Genomic DNA, 18,804 nt, shown 5'->3' on the forward strand with positions numbered 1-18,804 from the left:
AGAGTAGTTTACATACCACAGTTATAGTGTTATAATATTCTTTTTATTCCATGTACTATTACCAGCGAATTTTGTACCTTGAGGTGATTATTTATTGTTCATTAATGTTCTTTTCTTTCTGATGGAAGTACTCCCTTAAGTATTTCTTGTAGGATGGGTCTGGTATTGATTAAATCCCTCAGCTTTTGTCTGGGAGTCTTTATTTCTCCTTTATGTGTCCTTCATGTGTGAAGGATATTTTCATCAAATATACTATTCTATGGTAGAATTTTTTTTTCCTTCAGCACTTTAAATATGTCATCCCAGTGTCTCCTGGCCTGTAAAGTTTCCACTGAGGAGTCTGCTGCCTGACATATTGGAGCTGTGTTTTATGTTGTTTCTTTGCTCTTGCTACTTTTAGAATCCTTTCTTCATCCTTTACCTAATACTATGATTATTAAGTGCCTTGAGGTAGTCTTCTTTGGGTTCAAACTGCTCAGAGTTCTATAACTGATATGGTTTGGCTGTGTCCACACCCAAATGTCAAATCGTAACTCTCATAATTCCCACATGTCATGGGAGGGACCAAGTGGGAGGTAATTGAATTATGAGGGCAGGTCTTTCTGGTGCTGTTCTCATGATGGTGAATAGGTCTCACAAGATATGATGGTTTTATAAAGGGGAGTTCCCCTGCACATGCTCTCTCTCTTGCCTGTCACCATGCAAGACGTGACTTTACCCCTCCTTTGCCTTCTACTTGGTTGTGAGGCCTTGGAGGTTGTGAGGCCTCCCCAGCCATGTTGCAGTGGGAGTCCTTTAAACCTTTTTCCTTTATAAATTACCCAGTCTTGGGTACGTCTTTATTAGCAGCATGAGAGCAGACGAATACAGTAAATTGGTACTGGGAGTGGGGGACTGCTGTAAAGATACTGAAAATGTGGAAGCAACTTTAGAACTGGGTAACAGGCAGAGATTGGAACAGTTTGGAGGGCTCAGAAGAAGACAGGAAAGTGTAGGAAAGTTTGGAACTTCCTAGAGACTTATTAAATGGCTTTGACCAAAATGCTGAAGTGATATGGACAATAAGGTCCAGGTTGAGGTGGTCTCAGATGGAGATGAGAAACTTGTTAGAAATTGGAGTAAAGGTCACTTTTGCTATACAAAGAGACTGGTGGCGTTATGTCCTTGCCCCAGAGACCTGTGGAACATTGAATTTGAGAGAGACAACTTAGGGTATCTGATGGAAGAAAGTTCTAAGCAGCAAAGCCTTCAAGAGGTGAAAGAGGATAAAAGTTTGGAAGATTTGCAGCCTGATGATGCATTAGAAAAGAAAAACCCATTTTCTAGGGAGAAATTCAAGCTGACTGCAGAAGTTTGCATAAGCAATGAGTAGCCCAATGCTAATCACCAAGACTATGGGGAAAATGTCAACAGGCCATGTGAGATACCTTTAGGGCAGCCCCTCCCATCACAGGTCCAGAGGCCTAGGAGGAAAAAAAGGCTTCCTGGATTAGTTCAGTGCTGTGCATCCCAGCCATGGCTAAAATGGGCCAAGGTAGAGCTCAAGCCATTGCTTCAGAGGGTGCAAGCCCCAAGCCTTGGTGCCTTAAACCTGGTGTTGGGTTTGTGGTTGCACGGAAGTTGGAAGTGTGTGTGCACCCTAGGGATTTGGTGCCCTGCATCCCAGCTGTGGCTAAAATGGGCCAATATAGTGCTCAAGCTGTTGCTTCAGAGGATGCAAGACCCAAGCCTTGGTGGCTTACACATGGTATTGGGCTTGTGGGTGCATGGAAGAGTTGAGGAGTGGGAACCTCCGCCTAGATTTCAGAGGATACATGGAAATACCTGAATGTCCAGGCAGAGGTGTGCTGCAGGGGTGGAACCCTCATGGAGAACCTCTGCTAGGGAAGTGCAGAAGGAAAATGTGGGGGGTGAGCCCCCATACAGAGTTCCCACTGGGGCACTGCCTAGTGGAGCTGTAAGAAGAGGGCCACCATCCTCCAGACCCCAGAATGATAGATCTATTCCACTGACACTTGCACTGTGTGCCTGGAAAAGCTGCAGACACTCAACAGCAGCCCGTGAAAGCAGCCAGGAGTGGGGCTGTATCTGATAAAGCCACAGGGGTGGAGCTGCCCAAGACCATGGGAACCCACCTCTTGCATCAGCAAGACCTGGATTCAGACATGGAGTCAAAAGAGATAATTTTGGAACTTTAAGGTTTAATGACTGCCATATTGGGTTTCGGACTTGGATGGGGCCTGTAGCCCTTTTGTTTTGGCCAATTTCTCCCATTTGGAATAGAGGTTATTTACCCAATTCCTGTACCCTCATTGTATCTAGCATTGTGTCTAGGAAGTAACTAATTTGCTTTTGATTTTACAGGCTTATAGATGCAAGAGACTTGCCTTGTCTCAGATGAGACTTTGGAGTGTGGACTTTTGAGTTAATTCTGAAATGAGTTAAGACTTTGTGGGACTGTTGAGAAGGCATAATAGGTCTTGAAATGTGAAGACATGAGATTTGGGAGGGGCCAGGGAGGTAATTGAATCATGAGGTCCAGTCTTTCCTGTGCTGTTCTTGTGATAGTGAAGAAGTGAATGATTTTATAAAGGTGAGTTTCCCTGCACATTCTCTCTCTTGCTTGCCTGCCACCATAAAAGATGTGATTTTGTTACTCCTTTGTGTTCCACCATGATTGTGAGGCTTCCCCAACCATGTGAAACTGTGAGTCAAACCTTTTTCCTTTATAAATTACCTAGTCTCAGGTATGTCTTTATTGGCAGCATGAGAACAGACTCATACAATACCCTTCTTGTACTTGGATATTGATATCTTACTCTATATTTGGGAAGTTCTCTGATACTACCTTTTAAAATATACTTTCAAACCCTATCTCTTTCTCTACCCATCTTTAAGGCCTATAATCCTTAGATTTGCCCATTTGAGGCTATTTACTAGTTTCTGTAGGTGCGCTTTATTGTTTCTTTTCTTTATTCTTTTGTCTCCTCTGATAGGTATTTTCAAATATCCTGTCTTTAAACTCACTAATTCTTTTCTCTGCTTGATCCATTCTGCATTAAGACTCTGAAGCATTCTTCAGTATGCTAATTGCATTTTTCAGATCCAGAATTTCTGCTTGTTTCTTTTTAATTATTTCAATCTCTGTTAAATTTATCTGATAGAATTCTGAATTCCTTCTCTGTGTTATCTTGAATTTCTTTGAGTTTCCTCAACACAGCTATTTTGAAGTCTGTCTGAAAGGTCTCATATCTCTGTTTCTCCAAGATTGGTTTCCGGTGTCTTATTTAGTTAATTTAGTGAGGTCATGTTTTCCTGGATGGTGTTGATGCTAGTACATGCTCTTTGGTGCATGGACATTGAAGATATAGGTATTTAATGTAGCCTTTACTGTCTGGGCTTATTTGTAACCATCCTTCTTGAGAAGGCTTTCCAGATATTTGAAAGAACTTGAGTGTTGTGATCCAAGCTGTATCTGCTTTAAGGGGCTCCCCAACCCTAGTAACACTGTGGTTGTTGCAGACTCATAGAGGTACCACCTTGATTGTCTTGGACAAGATCCAGGACAAGTCTCTGGGTTACCAGAGACTCTTGTTCTCTTCCCTTACTTTCTCTCAAACATACAGAGTCTGTCTCTCTCTCTCTCTCTCTCTCTCTCTCTTTCTCACTCTCTCTGTTCTGAGCCACCTAAAGCTGTGAGTGGAGTGACACAAGTGCCCTTGTAGCCACCACAACTATGACTTTGCCATAGTTGTGCTGACCTCAAGTCAGCACAGTATTGGTTCTTTCTCAAGGCCTGCTGAAACCACTCCATGCTACCTGTCTGCTCAAGGCCCTGGGCTCTACAGTCAGCAAGTGGCAAAGCCAGCCAGGTCTGTGTTCTTGCCTTCAGGACAGCAAGGTCTCCCAGAGCCCTGTGTGGATTTGGAAGTTCCATCTGGGAGTCAAAGACTAGAGTCAAAAAACTTAGAAGTCTGCCTGGTGTTTTATCATACTGCAGCTGAGCTGGCACTCAAACCACAAGATGCAGTCCTTCACACACTTTCCCCCTTTCCAAAGGGCACCCATCAGAGAGCCCTTTGGCATCTTTCCAAAGGTAGAGGAGACTCACCCCATAGTCACTGCCACCCCAGGCCATAAGGAGTACTGGCAGACTACCCCTGATGTTCCCTTAAGGCCCAAGGTCTCTGAAGTCAGCTTGTGGTAAATGCTGCCTGGCCTGGGACATACCCTTCAGGGCAGTGGGCTCCTGTCTGGCCCAAGGCAGATCCAGAAATGTAGTTCAAGAGTCAAGCTATGGAATCAAGGACCCAGGAGCCCATTTGATGTGGCCATGCTGGTACTTAAGACAAAGCCCCTTTTTCTTTCCCCTCTGCTTCTCCCAAGCAGAAGGAGTTTTGCCCCATATCCACCACAGCTGGTAATCTGTTGAGTCTTACCTGAAGTCAGTCTCAGAGGCTCGCTCAAGGCCCTCAATGTAGTACCTGTGTATCACTGTTGGTTATACAGGGCCCAAGGGCATTTCAGTTAGCAGGTGATAAATGCTGCCAGGACTGTGTCCTTTCCTTCGAGGCAACAGGTTCGCTTCTGGCCCAGGATGTGTATAGAAGTGTCCTCTGGGAGCTAGGGCCTGAAACAGGGGCTTCACAACTCTGATGGGTGCCCTATCCTGCTGTGGCTTAGCTGGTATCCTAGATGCAAGACAATGTCCTCCCAACTCTTTCCTCTCCTTTGCTCAAGTGGAAAGAAGAGGTCTCTTTTGGAGCTACCAGCTGTACAGGCTGGGGTTAGGGGAGGTGTGATGCCAGCGTTCCCTTAGCTGCCCCAGCTGTTGTCCCAGTATGTTATCTGCCCCCACCAGTCCACTGTCTCTGGGCCTAGTTCAGCCCTAGGACTCACCTAAAAGTTCCAATCCTTATGATCTAGACTGCCTTTCAAGTTTACTTGGAGAAACAGTATCCTGTTGCCCTTGGTGGCAAGGTTTGTAGGCACTTAAGTTCAAACCCATGGAATCAGCGAGTATCTTCTAGATAGGGCTGGTTTAAATGCTCCCTCTGTGGGTGGGCATCAGCTGAGTTTGATCTGGTTTTCCCTTCTATTCTAACAGGACAGCACTGAGTTCAGTGCCTCACAATTACTGTGTTTTCCCTCCCTCAGCACCTAGAGATGCTCTCTGCATCATGCTGCAGCATCTAGAGGGTGGAGAAAGGGTGGCATCGGTGATTCAGGACTGTTTTTTCTGACTCTACAGTGCCTCTTTCATCAATATGAAGTTAAAACCAGATACTGAGTGTTTACTTGATTTTTGATTCTCTGTAGATATTTGTTGGTGTCCTTGGTGGGGGAGGCAGACAATCGGTAGAATTCTCTATTCCGCCATCTTGCTCCACCTAGGGGCCAGAAACAGTTTACTCTTTCCTACAATTCTAATTAAAGTAGACCCAGTTCCTTTATTCTTTTTAGTCTTTCAGATGTTTCTCTTACAAAGAAAATTTTCTCTTTTACCTTTTTTTAGTTACTTTTCCACCATTATGTTCTCTTGATGCTGTTTGCTTTCTTTCATCCATTCTCTAAATAAAATTTTAATTTAAACAAATCCATTTCCGGTTGCTTCAGAAATGTAGTCCCAAAGTGGACATTTAATTTCCTATGGTATAAATGTTTTAAGACACTCACAGTGTACATAAAGTGAATCATAACATTGTGTGTAGCAGCAGATCACCTAGTCTCACTAACAAGCATAGAACCATGTACACAGGATGTAAAAAGAATCAAAACAGGTAGGTCTTAGAAAGCCTTAGTCCTTCCAGGGAAGTTTCAGTGAAATGTCAAAACTTTTACTATGACTCAGAGTTGACATAAAAAGCATTTTATTGTGACAAAAATTAAACACTTATTCACTTATTGAACGTATACATCATACAAAAGAAATATCAGTTACTATGACAAATATAAAAATAATTTTAAATTTGTCACTTTGGGGGAAACTAGAACATATATAAGAGATATAAGAACCTAAGATTTAAAAAAAAAAAAAAAACAACTTGTCTGAATGTAACATATCTCCCCCATATTTGTAAAACAATTAGAGGACAAAAGCTAACCTGTGGTAATAAAATATCAACTATATTTTTGTTGATTAAGAGTTCCACATAAAATAATGCTTTGAAAGACTCACTGCTCTAAAATACTCACTAAAGCATGTGACTTTTGTGTCTTATCTTGGAAGTAGTGACATGGAGGGTTTTATGTAGGAAAGATGACATTCTAAATAGAAGGTAATATGCATTTAAGCATAGAGACTACCCTTCCTTTTTTCACAGACATATGTAAGAAATTAATAACAGACAAAGTCAGGTACAGAAACAAAAACTAGGGGCCAAGTGAATACATGACTGAAGAAGTTATATTTCAAAGGTATTAAAAGAGGAGGCACTAAAGTTCTTTGAGTGACCTAATTATATTTTTGAAAAATATTCCATTCAACACTCATTTATTGGCTGTGTGTTATTGGTATATTTCTGTGCCTTGATGACTATGCTGTGAAAACATTGAAAAGATGGCATAGTCCTTTCCTTTGAGGAGCTACAGACTATTTGGATGATCTTGGCAGCTGTGTGCATCTTACTCTGGAGTGAGAAGAAATTAGAGGCATGGTATATAAGTCCCTAGATATATACAATGGATGATACTATGGGGAGGGAGCATAATTTCAGTGTAAATTAATAAAGTCTGAGTCTAGAGGGTTGACTATGAAGATAGAAAGGATAAATTTCATCTTACAGATATTATATGGCAAAAGTACACATGCTTGATGCACTTCGTGCATAAAGAAAGAGGATTAAAAAACTAACTCCATGTAAGCATCCCTATTTTTAATTCTGTATTAAAGATATAAGCTAATAACTTATTCATTAATGTATTCAGTCATTCAAAAGCTAATGTCAAACACCTTCCATGTACTAGTTATTTGCAGAATCTACTTTCACCAGTCATCCTGCATAAGTAAATTGGTTTAGCATTATTGTCTTTTGAATTTGTCTAATTAGCAGTACTAATTTTACACAGGGAGAAAGATACAGCTGGTTGAAGTGACATACAATAATTCATGATGGCTCTTACTGTACTGCTTATCCCAATTAAAATAAGACAGTAGCATTTACTTATTAATTCAATTTTTTCTCATATCATTTAGAAAAGATATCTTTTATAATTTAAATTTCTTATGCCTATTTTGAAGATAGGTGTGAATTTTTTCAGAAAAGACTTAATTGACTCTACTTTCAAAAGTTATCTGAAAGTAAAAGTAGGAACAGAAAACCTTATACACTTGCTGAAAATATTCTGTCATTTAATCTTTTTATGTAATTCTAAAACAGTGGTATAAATGTCAACCTGATGTGCAGGAAGATAATTTTATTTTTATGAAGGCTAGAGTTTCTATCATTTTAAAGTATGGCAATAATTAGAATTTAGTTTCTGATTTTACATATAGGAATATTTGATCATTTTTATTGTGTTAGAGAGGAACTTCTGCTCCTAGAGATGAGGGATTAACAGAGTCCAGACTTAGCCTTCTGCCATAAGCAACTAGAAATCTTGACAAAATATACAAAACAACTGTGTTCAGACATTGGAAAACAGTACATGACCTTGAGTTCATGGAAGTGAAGGGAAACAAACAAGGTGAACCCTAAAATCACTCAGGCTTTCTGCCTGGAGACAGAAAGACAGAAATAATTTCCTGATGGTTGTTCATTTGAGAGAGAAAACAAATGGAGCTTGGCCATCTTGCTAATTTAAGAAGACAGAATCAGAGTTTGGGAGGACCAAAACAGCTAGAATTTGTAGTGCAAAGTATGGAAGAAGATGGATCTATGCAAAAAAGGAGCCACAGAAATTAGCATAGGCATTCCCTTGAGTATTTGATTGAATACTAGTCTACATGTCAGCCGGCTGGAATTTTGAGTCCGAGTAAGGAACACTTAGTAGGGAGTTGGATTCCCAGAGCTGACATAGAGCCAGAAATTTTCCAACTTCCAGCAGCCAGAGTAGAGATATCTTGTTGAATACATAAGGAATTAAGTAAAAGCTCTTGGAAGGTCATGTCTTAATAATGAGGCTAAACTATTCCTCAAACAGTGACTATTCTAGACTTGCTCTAATAATTTAAAATCAAAGCTCAAAGGGAACAAACTAAGCTGTAAGTTGCTTAACTGCATGCTCAAACAAAGTCCAACACTCATTTTAAAAAGGAAGAAAAATAAATCCGCACTCTACACCTTAATGCACACAATGTCTTGCATCTAGCCAAAAAATTGCAGATTTGACCAAGTGGCAAAATGTGTCACATTACCAGGAAGAAAACCAAGCAATAGAAACAGTTCCAGAAATTACATTGATGTTAAAATTAGCAGTCAAGGGCGTTAAAACACAAGGATAAATACGTGCTAAAAGATTTAAAAGAAGACATAAATATAAAAAGAAGAAAAATGACAATATAAAAAATAACATATTAGAAGTTATACAGCTGAAAAATAACATATCTAAGAAAAAAACATTTTAATGGATTGGATTAACAGCACATTAATTGTTGTAGAACTAAAGGTCAGTGAACTGAAAAACATAGCAATAGGAAACAGGCAAATGAGGCACAAAGAGAAAAAATTAAAAGCTAAAAGAAATGAGCAAACTCTCAGTTACTTGCAGAGTAATACCCAGTGGTAGACTATAAGTGCAACTGAAGCTTCAAAAGGCTGGGAGAGTGAAGCAGGTCAGAAGAAAACCTGAAGAAATGGTGGCTGTAAAATTTTAAATGTAATGAAAATGTAAGCCCAAATCCATAAAGTTCAACAAATCCTAAGCAGGATAAACACAAAGAAGTCATTACAATTAAGTTGCTAAAAACCAGTGATAAAAAATTAATATCCAAAATAAGAAAGGGGTGATACATTCAGAAGAACGAAATAACAATTATGGCAGGCTTCTTATCAGAAACTATAGGTGAGACAAGAAAGAAGTAACATCTTCAAAGCACTGAAAGCAAAAATAATAATAATAATCTTTAACCTAGAATTCCATTCCCTAGGACAATGGAATGACATAACATGCTGAAATAGAATATATATATACGGTCAACTTAAACTTCCATACCAAGTGAAAATGTTATTTTTGAAATACTAAGGCAAAATTAATACTTTTTCAAACAAATAGAAGCTGAGAGAGGTCATATTCTCAGGCTGGCATGGCTGTAAATGTTAAAGAAAGGTCTTCAGGAAGAAGAAAATTATACCAGGCCAAAATGTGGACCTAAACAAAGTAATTAAAAGAACCAGAAATGTAAATATATGGCTAAATATAAAATATAATATCTTTGTTATTTTAAAAAACATATTTCAGGGATAATTGACTGTTTAAAGCAAAAATAATAATTCATTTGGGAAGGGTCTATAAAATAAATATGTGGAAGTAAAATGTATAAAACTATAACCCAAAGGACGGGAGGGGAAAATGGAAGAATATTACTGTAGGGTTCTTACATTATACATAAAGTAGTATAATCTTATCTGAATGTACATTGTGATAAATTAGTGGTGCATATTGTCAATTTTAGAGCAACCACTGGAACATAGCAAAGAGGCCTAACTAGTAAGCCACTATGCAGATAAAATAGAATGCTAAAAAGAAGGCAAAAAACAAAGAACATATAGGACAGAAAAAAGAAAAATAAGAGATGATTGATTTGTATTTAACCATACTGATTATTATGATAAATGTAAATGTACTAAACAATAAAAGGCAGAAATTGTCAGACTAGAGATAAATGCAAGACCAAATTGTGTGCTGTCTACAAGACGTGCACTTCAAATGGAATGTGTTTTTATGTTTATTTTTGTACTATGGAGTGTGAAAGTGTTTACCAAGCAAACTGAAAATGGGGGAAAGTTTAAACTGCTCAGATATTAAGCAGCTCTCCAGTAATTTTGAACTAGTAATTTTGCTACCAGTACTTGTTATGATCTTTTGAATTCACTAGAGAAAGTCAGGCAGGGCAATACTTGATTCTTCTTTCTTAGCTATCATTCTGTTTTTATGTATATATAGTTGCTCTTGAGTGAAATTGTCTAATAATTCAGTTTTTCATAATTACAACAAAAATTGTATAATTACTTAGCTTTGATGAATTAAAAGGTTTTATTACAGACTTTTTTAGTAAAACATTACTTGCTTTCTCAGAGAAGAAAAATATATACTTTTTCTTTTTTGAGAGTAATAAATATTAATATAAACAAGGATTAAATTAAACTGTTTCATTTTTAACTCTGCAAAAAAATGTAGTCAAATAACTCTATAAAATGAATTATTATTGAAAAGCCTCCAAACCCAGCATGGAATGAATTGACAATTCCATCCAAACTCTAAGGTAATCAAATATATACAAATTCACATTCTTAAGATTCCTCAGCATATAAGATTATTTTCATAGTTAGTCTTTTTTTCTTTATTCATAATCTGAAAACAAATCCTCATCTGAAATAGAAGCTTTTCTGGGAAAACTATCTTTAAAATTCATGAAATATCTATGTTATAGGTTATACGGAAAGGAGAAGTGAGCTGCTGCTGGATTTGCACGGCCTGCAAAGAGAATGAATATGTGCAAGATGAGTTCACCTGCAAAGCTTGTGACTTGGGATGGTGGCCCAATGCAGATCTAACAGGTAGGAACTGCCTCACTTGGAAACCTTGTGCCTCACTATTTGCCTTTCCAATGTGTCCATCCCTCAAATGAGAATGATTAGCTCATGTCTTCTCAATGTTAATTTACAATGCACACTTTTTAGTCCTCATGTCAAGGAGTATACATAAACCTCATAAGTTTTCTATAATCTATATTGAAAAGAAAGTTCATGTAAATCTAAATAACAATGAATTGATGTGTGGTAGGCTATGCTATTATAGAGTTGTTTTCTGTTTTTCTTTAAATTGTATTTGAAGGTATTTCTGGCCACCTGAATTTATATTTGCAATCATTTCTTGAACATCTACTATGGATGAGGCACTACTATAGGCCCTAAAAATAGAAAAGTAAATGTCCCAGCTTTTATTTTGTATAAAATCTATCAGGGAAGAAACATGGAAAAATATAATATAACATAACATAATTATTAAAATAATCATCCCGGCTTTTATTTTGCTTAAAACCTATCAGGAACGAAACATGAAAAATATAATAAAACATAATATAATTATTGAAATAATAGAGATATCTATAAAGTGCATAAAGTTTGTTAAGCAGGCAAGAAGATGAAAGGAATTTCAGGCCTAAAGTAGAACACGGGAAACATGAAAGTTTATGACACATTTGCAGAAAACCATAGAACAAGTATGTGGGGTTGGTAGGTAGGGACAATGGTCCAGTAGGGTAGTGGTCAGAAATGAGAATAGACAAGGACACTGATGGGATGGCAGAGTGCTTCTGTGTGACATTCCTCTACATGTTTGGACTTTGGCTTTGAGCACAGGAGAACCACTAAAGAATTTTAAAGTGGTGAATGACATTATGATACCCGCATTTCTGGTATGCTTCTTGTAGTGGTATAGGAAGTTGTTGTATTGATGCAAGTGAGTTACTTGAAAAGGTGTGGATTAGGACAGCTACAGTAGGAATGGAAAGGAATAAATGAAACAGATGATTCACTAGTAAAACCAATGGAACTCAGAGGGATTGATTATATGAGTTTGTAAGTTTCCTAAGAGTGATGTTCATATAAATGAATTTTGTTTTTCACACATCTTGTTATGAGCTTACAGAGGAGAAATGATTCATAAAACTTTGCATAAATTTTAGGAGCCATAGAGGCTTTTTTATGTGAGTACATAGACACTTTGTCATCTGAATAATCTAGCCCCTCGTCTTATCATCTTAGAAAGAGGGAGCTGAGGCCTAGAGACGTGAAGTTGTATGGCCAAAGTCAGGAAAATAGTGAGAAGCAGAACCTAGTCCACTAACCCCTGACTCCATGTCTTTTTGGGTGCTGTTGAAAATCATCCGTAAATGTAATATTCTTGATGGTTGGACATTTTTTTACTTGTTTCCAAGTAAAAATATGCAACTAAGAAATCATGCAGTTTATTCAGAGTACATAAAAAATGACTAGGTAAGTAGAACTAGGTCACGTAACTAAAATTATACTAAGTGACAATACCTTGTAAAATGTTAATTTTGTTAGAAAAAAGTTAAACTGAGCAGCAGAAAGCTTTTGTAAGTCACCTAGTACAAAGGTCCTTTTTAAAGAGAAGAAAAGTAGATCAGAACGTTTTTGAAGGTATGAACTGCATCTCACTCATCTTTTTATTTGCCAGCTAAATTTCATGCCTAAAAATTACCCAGGAATTACCCACCTCCAGAGATTCCGCTTTGCTCCCGCTGGAGTGGAACTCAGCAGATCCTGATGCAATTACTCTCTGTCCCACCCATTGAGAAACACCACTCTCTGGCGCATAGCCTGATGCCTTGAACATAATAGCTACTTAATACATGTTTGTTAAATTGAGGGAATTAGGAAGAAGGGACTCACCCAGGGTCATCGAGGTCAATGCAGTTGGTTAATAGAAAAACCACAGTGAGCATTCAAGATTGTTTGTCACTGGATCTAATGAATGCTCTCACTCTGCCATGGTTGCATGCAATGGCCTGGCTTGGAAAAGCTTTTCCAACCTCATTTTGGACTCATGCCTTCCCTCCACTTACATTATTTCTCTTCAAATTTGTATCCTACTTCATGGTGTGTGCCTCCTGCCAGGCCTCTTTTTCTTGTATAAGTAGGTCCGCTTAGATGGCCATTGTGTTTGAGAGCTGGGGTTTACTGACAGTCATTCCACTCATCTGTTTGACTGAGATCACAGCTGACTAGGAAAAAGCTCAAAGACAAAAGTGACCTCTTTATGAGGTTAATCTTAGAAGTCAGAAGTCTTGGCTTTGAGGTACAAAGATTTTTCTCTTGTCTACATTTTTTGGGCTTTCTCCAACTTCTCCTACTGCTCTATTTCATTTTCATTAGGGCTTATCTCACACATTAAAAAAATTTCTATCCTATTTTAAAACACTAAGATAAAAAAGCTTTTTAAAAAACATGATATGATGTAATAGTGGAACTCAAGGTCATACCTTTTATTCCTTGGAGATGCTCTATTGTGGGATTATTGCATATTTTCTGTCCACTGCCAAATGCTCATTTCCGTTGATTAGGGATCTTTAACTTGGTAAAATATTTTTAAAATTCTCCTTGGTTAAAAATGGATTAATATTAATACAATTACATTTCTAACGATTTAATATGCCATGAGCTATCATATGCATAAAAGTCACTTTAACATTCAAATGAGTTGAGCCAGCAACTCCTCAGACCATGCCCTTAGCTAATAACAACAGGCATGCAGCTGCGACTGGGTCATATATTCAGATGATTTTGCAAATCTTATCTTTAGGGTCTTTCACAATATAGATTCCTCATTCTAATTTATACTAATGTCTTAATGATCCATATTGATTCTGCCTTTCTTTTGGTCTCTTACAGGAAATCCCATTTACCACTTGCTTGATGCCATGTCAAGCACAGAGCAAGGGCATAGTCCGTGCCAATGTGTTGTGGGTGTTACCATGGTAGCGGTAGTTATGAAATGAGAAAACCTATGAGAACAGAATACTAAAAATCAGTAGAATTACTCAGAAAAGTAAACGCATTGCCTTTAAGTAGGTGTTTGATTTATGGGTAATTTTTTTTCACTAAATATTAGTTAAAATGAGAAATCATTCTTCTTTGAAAAATAGTGTATTCTACTGAAGTAAAATATACTTTTTATTTTTAATAGTTGGTTAAAATATACTTAAAATCACTTTAAAAGTTAGCTACTTTTAATATATACTCCATACATTATAATATTAATGAATAAAAACAGGTTTACTGTGGTTTTTATTTCCATTAAAATGTGGTTTTTTTTGGCTATGAAGAAATTAGTATATTTCTTAGAGAAAGTGCTTTTTGAAGCTGTTAAAAAGTTTCTCATATTTTCTTCTTGTGAAATTGCACATTTTAATTCAGCACTTAAATTTCACACTTTATTTCTTGTGATACAAAAACAGGGATCTTTTCTACCATGATATACAGCTTGACAGTAGTTTAACAATTTGTGGACCAATTATATGTAATCCAATGCTACTAATTTATTTGTAGAAGTAAAATAAGAATATTCCTCAAAAAGACAGACTACGCTACATTTTCTCATTAAAAAAAAAAACGGAAAATGCTTTATAAACATTAACTAATTTTAACAACTTTTTTTCCATTCCGACAGTTGTTGTAACCTCTTACACTAGTATCTACTAATTTATTTCATTCTGTAATAAACACTACCACCTGTTTTGTGCCAGGTACTTTTTAAAAACTGGGAATATACAGGTGAATTAAGCAATGTCTATATCCTAAGGGAGGAGCTTCATATGAAACTAGCCATGTAAACAGCCAACTATAAGTCCTACAATAGAGTTATGGGTAAAATGTCAGATAAATATGGAGCGGCTGTTTTTCCCTGGGAAGAAAAAAGCCTTTGCAGAAGAAGGGACATTTGATCTGAGCACTGAATTACAAACAGAATTTCACCTGGTAGAATTTCATTGAATTGTAATAGAATTACTATTTATATTGATTTTAAAACAATCAGGGAAGCATTTTGATGAAGGTTTATATGATCATGATGTAGTATTGCAAATGTTATGAATTACCTCAAGACGCTTTGCATAGAGTTTTATTTCTTAATTTATGTTAAATTTGACTTGACCTAATTGGAAAAAAGTCTGATAGTAAATTTCATCCTCCTCCAATACATCTGGATCATATAAGATGTACTGGATCTTATAAGGATCTTATAAGTACCCTAACATTTGATTCAAAAATTAGAAGTAGCTACCAGTCCTCAGATCAGAGTTATTGCCACCTTGCTTTGATTTTGCTCAGTAATTTGTAGTTGGCTTGAAGGAAACTGACTTGTCTGATAGCTCTGAGTTCTCTGTAATAACCCTAACCATAAACATTTGCCAGGACCTCAAGTTCCCAAGGTTCAGATATGCAAAGCACAACTCTCACAAAGTCCCCCTTTTGAGTTCTGAGGTTAGGTGGACGCTACTCACCACTGGTTGAAGGTAGTCTCCCCTCTTTCTAGTTTTGGGATAAACAAACACACCTGGAGGTTGGATAACTCTTTTTTAAAAACTTCAAAACAGGATCTCAAAGAAAGCCACATAACATGACATTACATAATTGGACAAATGACATTACAGCTAATTCCCTCAAGATGGCAAAGCTAATGTTTCTCAAATTTAGGATAAATTTAAATTTATCCTAAATAAAAAATAAAGAAAGAAAAGAAAAAAAGGAAAAAGAATCTAAAACTTTTAAGAAACTTACTCAAAATATAGATTCTGTTTTGGATGGTTCCAGATTGGCATTGAAAAGCCTGGTTTCCATATATGAAAAAGAATCTAGCATCTTCCCAAGAGATAAAGCAATCATAGTAGAATTGCAAGTATGTTTCTGGGTGTCATGACAAACTGCTACTGTTACAACACGAGAGTACTTACATCCCCTCTAGCATAACAACATTGTTCTTCATCTGTATTTGATGCACTGTATAGGACAGAGTTATTTTATAGCTAGATTTGGACAACTTTATGATTATCCTTGGAGAGGCCTTAGTATCTGTCCTTGACTATTGTCCTCATTAGGGGAACTTGGATTTACGATATGCAGTTTAAAGTTTAAAATGTGTTTGGTGGCAACCAAATCCTGTTTGCTCACTGATGGATTTTGCCTGAAATCACCAATTAGCTTGATTTGGCTACATGACTTGGGGGTGATAAAAAGATTCCACTGAAACTTCTGCCCTAGCTAACCCAAAGCCAATATTCATGGTAGAGATCCTGGTAGTCCAATCCACAGTTAAAGTCTATCCATGTGTGAATAAGAACCTAGAGAGCTTGCACCTGGTTATCTCTTGGTCCCTTGGTGTTGACATGCACTGTCTTTCTCGCACCGTATTAGACCTTTTGACTTTAAATAAAATTGTTACATGAGTGTCTTCTACAAGTCTTCTGAATCTTTTCAAATATCTAAACTCATGCAATCTTTGCATATGCAGAGTATTGTTATTGGAAAAGTTAGCATAACATACCTTTATATTATTTCTTTTTTAAAATTATACTTCAAGTTCTGGGATACATGTGCAGAATGTGCAGATTTGTTACATAGGTATACATGTGCCATGGTGGTTTGCTGCACCCATCAACCCGTCATCTACATTAGGTATTTCTCCTAAAGCTATCCCTCCCTTTGCCCCACACTCCCTGACAGTCTCTGGCGTATGATGTTCCCCTCGCTATGCCCATATGTTCTCATTGTTCAGCTCTCACTTATGAGTGAGAACATGCAATGTTTGGTTTTCTGTTCCTGTGTTAGTTTGCTGAGAATGATGGTTTCCAGCTTAATCCATGTCCCTGCAAAGGACATTAACTCATTCTTTTTATATGACTGCATAGTATTCCATGGTGTATATGTGCCACATTTTCTTTATCTAGTCTATCATTGTGGGCATTTGGGTTGGTTCCAAGTTTTTGCTATTGTGAATAGTGCTGTGATACATACCTGTGCATGTGTCTTTATAGTAGAATGATTGGTAATCCTTTGAGGATATACCCAGTAATGGGATCGCTGGGTCAAATGGTATTTCTGGTTCTAGATCCTTGAGGAATCACCACGCTGTCTTCCACAATGGTTGAACTAATTTACACTCCTACCAACAGTGCAAAAGCGTTCCTATTTCTCCATATCCTCTCCAGCATCTGTTGTTTCCTGACTTTTTAATGATCACCATTCTAACTGGCATGAGATGGTGTCTCGTTGTGCTTTTGATTTGCATTTCTCTAATGACCAGTGATGATGAGCTTTTTTTCATGTTTATTGGCCACATAAGTGTCTTCTTTTGAGAAGTTTCTGTTCGTATCCTTTGACCAATTTTTGATGCAGTTGTTTTATTTTTTCTTGTAAATTAAAGTTCCTTGTAGATTCAGGATATTAGCCCTTTGTCAGATGGATAGATTGCAAAAATGTTCTCCCATCCTATAGGTTGCCTGTTCACTCTGATGATAGTTTCTTTTGTTGTGCAGAAGCTCTTCAGTTTAATTAGATCCCACTTGTCAATTTTGGCTTTTGTTGCAATTGCTTTTGGTGTTTTAGACATGAAACCACTACTCAAGGAAGTAAGAGGACACAAACAAATGGAAAAACATTCCATGCTCATGGATAGGAAGCATCAGTATCGTGAAAATGGCCATACTGCCCAAAGTAATTTATAGATTCAATGCTATTCCCATCAAGCTACCATTGACTTTCTTCACAGAATTAGAAAAAACTACTTTAAATTTCATATGGAACCAAAAAAGAGCCTGTATAGCCAAGACAATCCCAAGCAAAAGGAACAAAGCTGGAGGCATCACGATACCTGACTTCAAACTATACTACAAGGCTGCAGTAACCAAAACAACTTGGTACTGGTACCAAGCAGATATATAGACCAATGGAACACAACAGAGGCCTCAGAAGTAACACACACATCTACAGCCATCTGATCTTTGACAAACCTGACAAAAACAAGCAATGGGGAAAGGATTCTCTATTTAATAAATGGTGCTGGGAAAACTGGCTAGCCATATGCAGAAAACTGAAACTGAACCTCTTCCTTACACCTTATACAAAAATTAACTCAAGATGGATTAAAGATTTAAATGTAAGACCTAAATCCGTAAAAACTCTAGAAGAAAACCTAGGCAATACCATTCAGGACATAGGCATGGGCAAAGACCTTTATATTATTTCTCGAATGATGTCCACCAACAGTAGCTTAATATAACTAAATTATTGAGTTAGTGTGATGATTGTCTCTAGTATATCTAGGCTCAGATAAATTCCTCTTAGTAGTAAGAGAAATAATAAAGATGAACTCAGATTTTTATAGCTTTAAATCAGTAAGGAAAGAAGTATGAATAAGCAAGAATATACAAAGGAGAGTATGATATATACAAGAATTTTATAATGGTGATCTTGCACAGAAGATCATTATATGGTTATTAGCATGCTCCAAGGTCTTTGGGTCAGCAGTTAACTTCCATGCCCTTTCTGCTTCTGGAGGCTTTTGCAGAGCTTCAGTTTAAAATTACTAATGGGTGTAATCATCAGTGTATCAAGGTTCCCTTTCATTTTTCTAGAGGGTTGGGAATGATGAGGTCATGAATAAATATTCCGGTGAAAATGTCCTCATATCACTGGATTTATAAATTAGAATGTTTCAGCTAAGAAATACAAATGTAATTGTATTTTAGCCATTGTGAGGATTGTGGCTTTTCAACAGGGGAACGCTTAAACAGAGTCATAAAATAAGCACGCTATTTGAACTAGTACCTAGTAATAAATCATAGAGAGGCACAACCATATACAATCCATCTGGAGATGCTCAAAGGTTTCTTTTGCAATTTTATCAATGTCCCATACATTTTTTTCCAAATTAATTTAATTACAAATGAAGCATGAGCTGGACACATCTTCTGCTATCCTGAAAATGTCTTTCCATTGCTGTTTAATTGGCCAACTTGTCCTTCCAGAATAAGTTGCCTCATTTTTCATGAGATGTACTGAGTGTTCACAAATATTCTTCAAATGAAACTTCTGCTTGAGATATCTACAGATTTTCTTCCAT

At 37.1% G+C, this 18,804-nt stretch overlaps 1 protein-coding gene across 8 annotated transcripts in view, besides 1 other annotated feature; it reads left to right on the forward strand.

The window, feature by feature from the left end:
* Positions 1-18,804, forward strand: part of GRM1 (glutamate metabotropic receptor 1) — a 409,895-nt gene that overhangs the window by 348,592 nt on the left and 42,499 nt on the right. For all 8 annotated transcript variants that reach the window (NM_001278065.2, XM_017010784.2, XM_011535782.2 and 5 more), the window contains one exon: positions 10,592-10,718. In NM_001278065.2, the coding sequence (NP_001264994.1) occupies positions 10,592-10,718 (127 nt within the window). The remainder of the gene's footprint in view (positions 1-10,591; positions 10,719-18,804) is intronic.
* Positions 12,195-13,394: an enhancer, noted in NCBI's record as "BRD4-independent group 4 enhancer chr6:146709629-146710828 (GRCh37/hg19 assembly coordinates)". NCBI's record gives its function as "activates an origin of replication core promoter dependent on BRD2, P300/CBP, MED14 and CDK7 cofactors, and independent of BRD4, by STARR-seq in HCT116 cells {active_cell/tissue: HCT116}" and the evidence as "EXISTENCE:reporter gene assay evidence [ECO:0000049][PMID:35650434]".

Source organism: Homo sapiens, chromosome 6 (genome assembly GCF_000001405.40).
Source record: "Homo sapiens chromosome 6, GRCh38.p14 Primary Assembly".
Taxonomy (NCBI): Eukaryota; Metazoa; Chordata; class Mammalia; order Primates; family Hominidae; genus Homo; species Homo sapiens.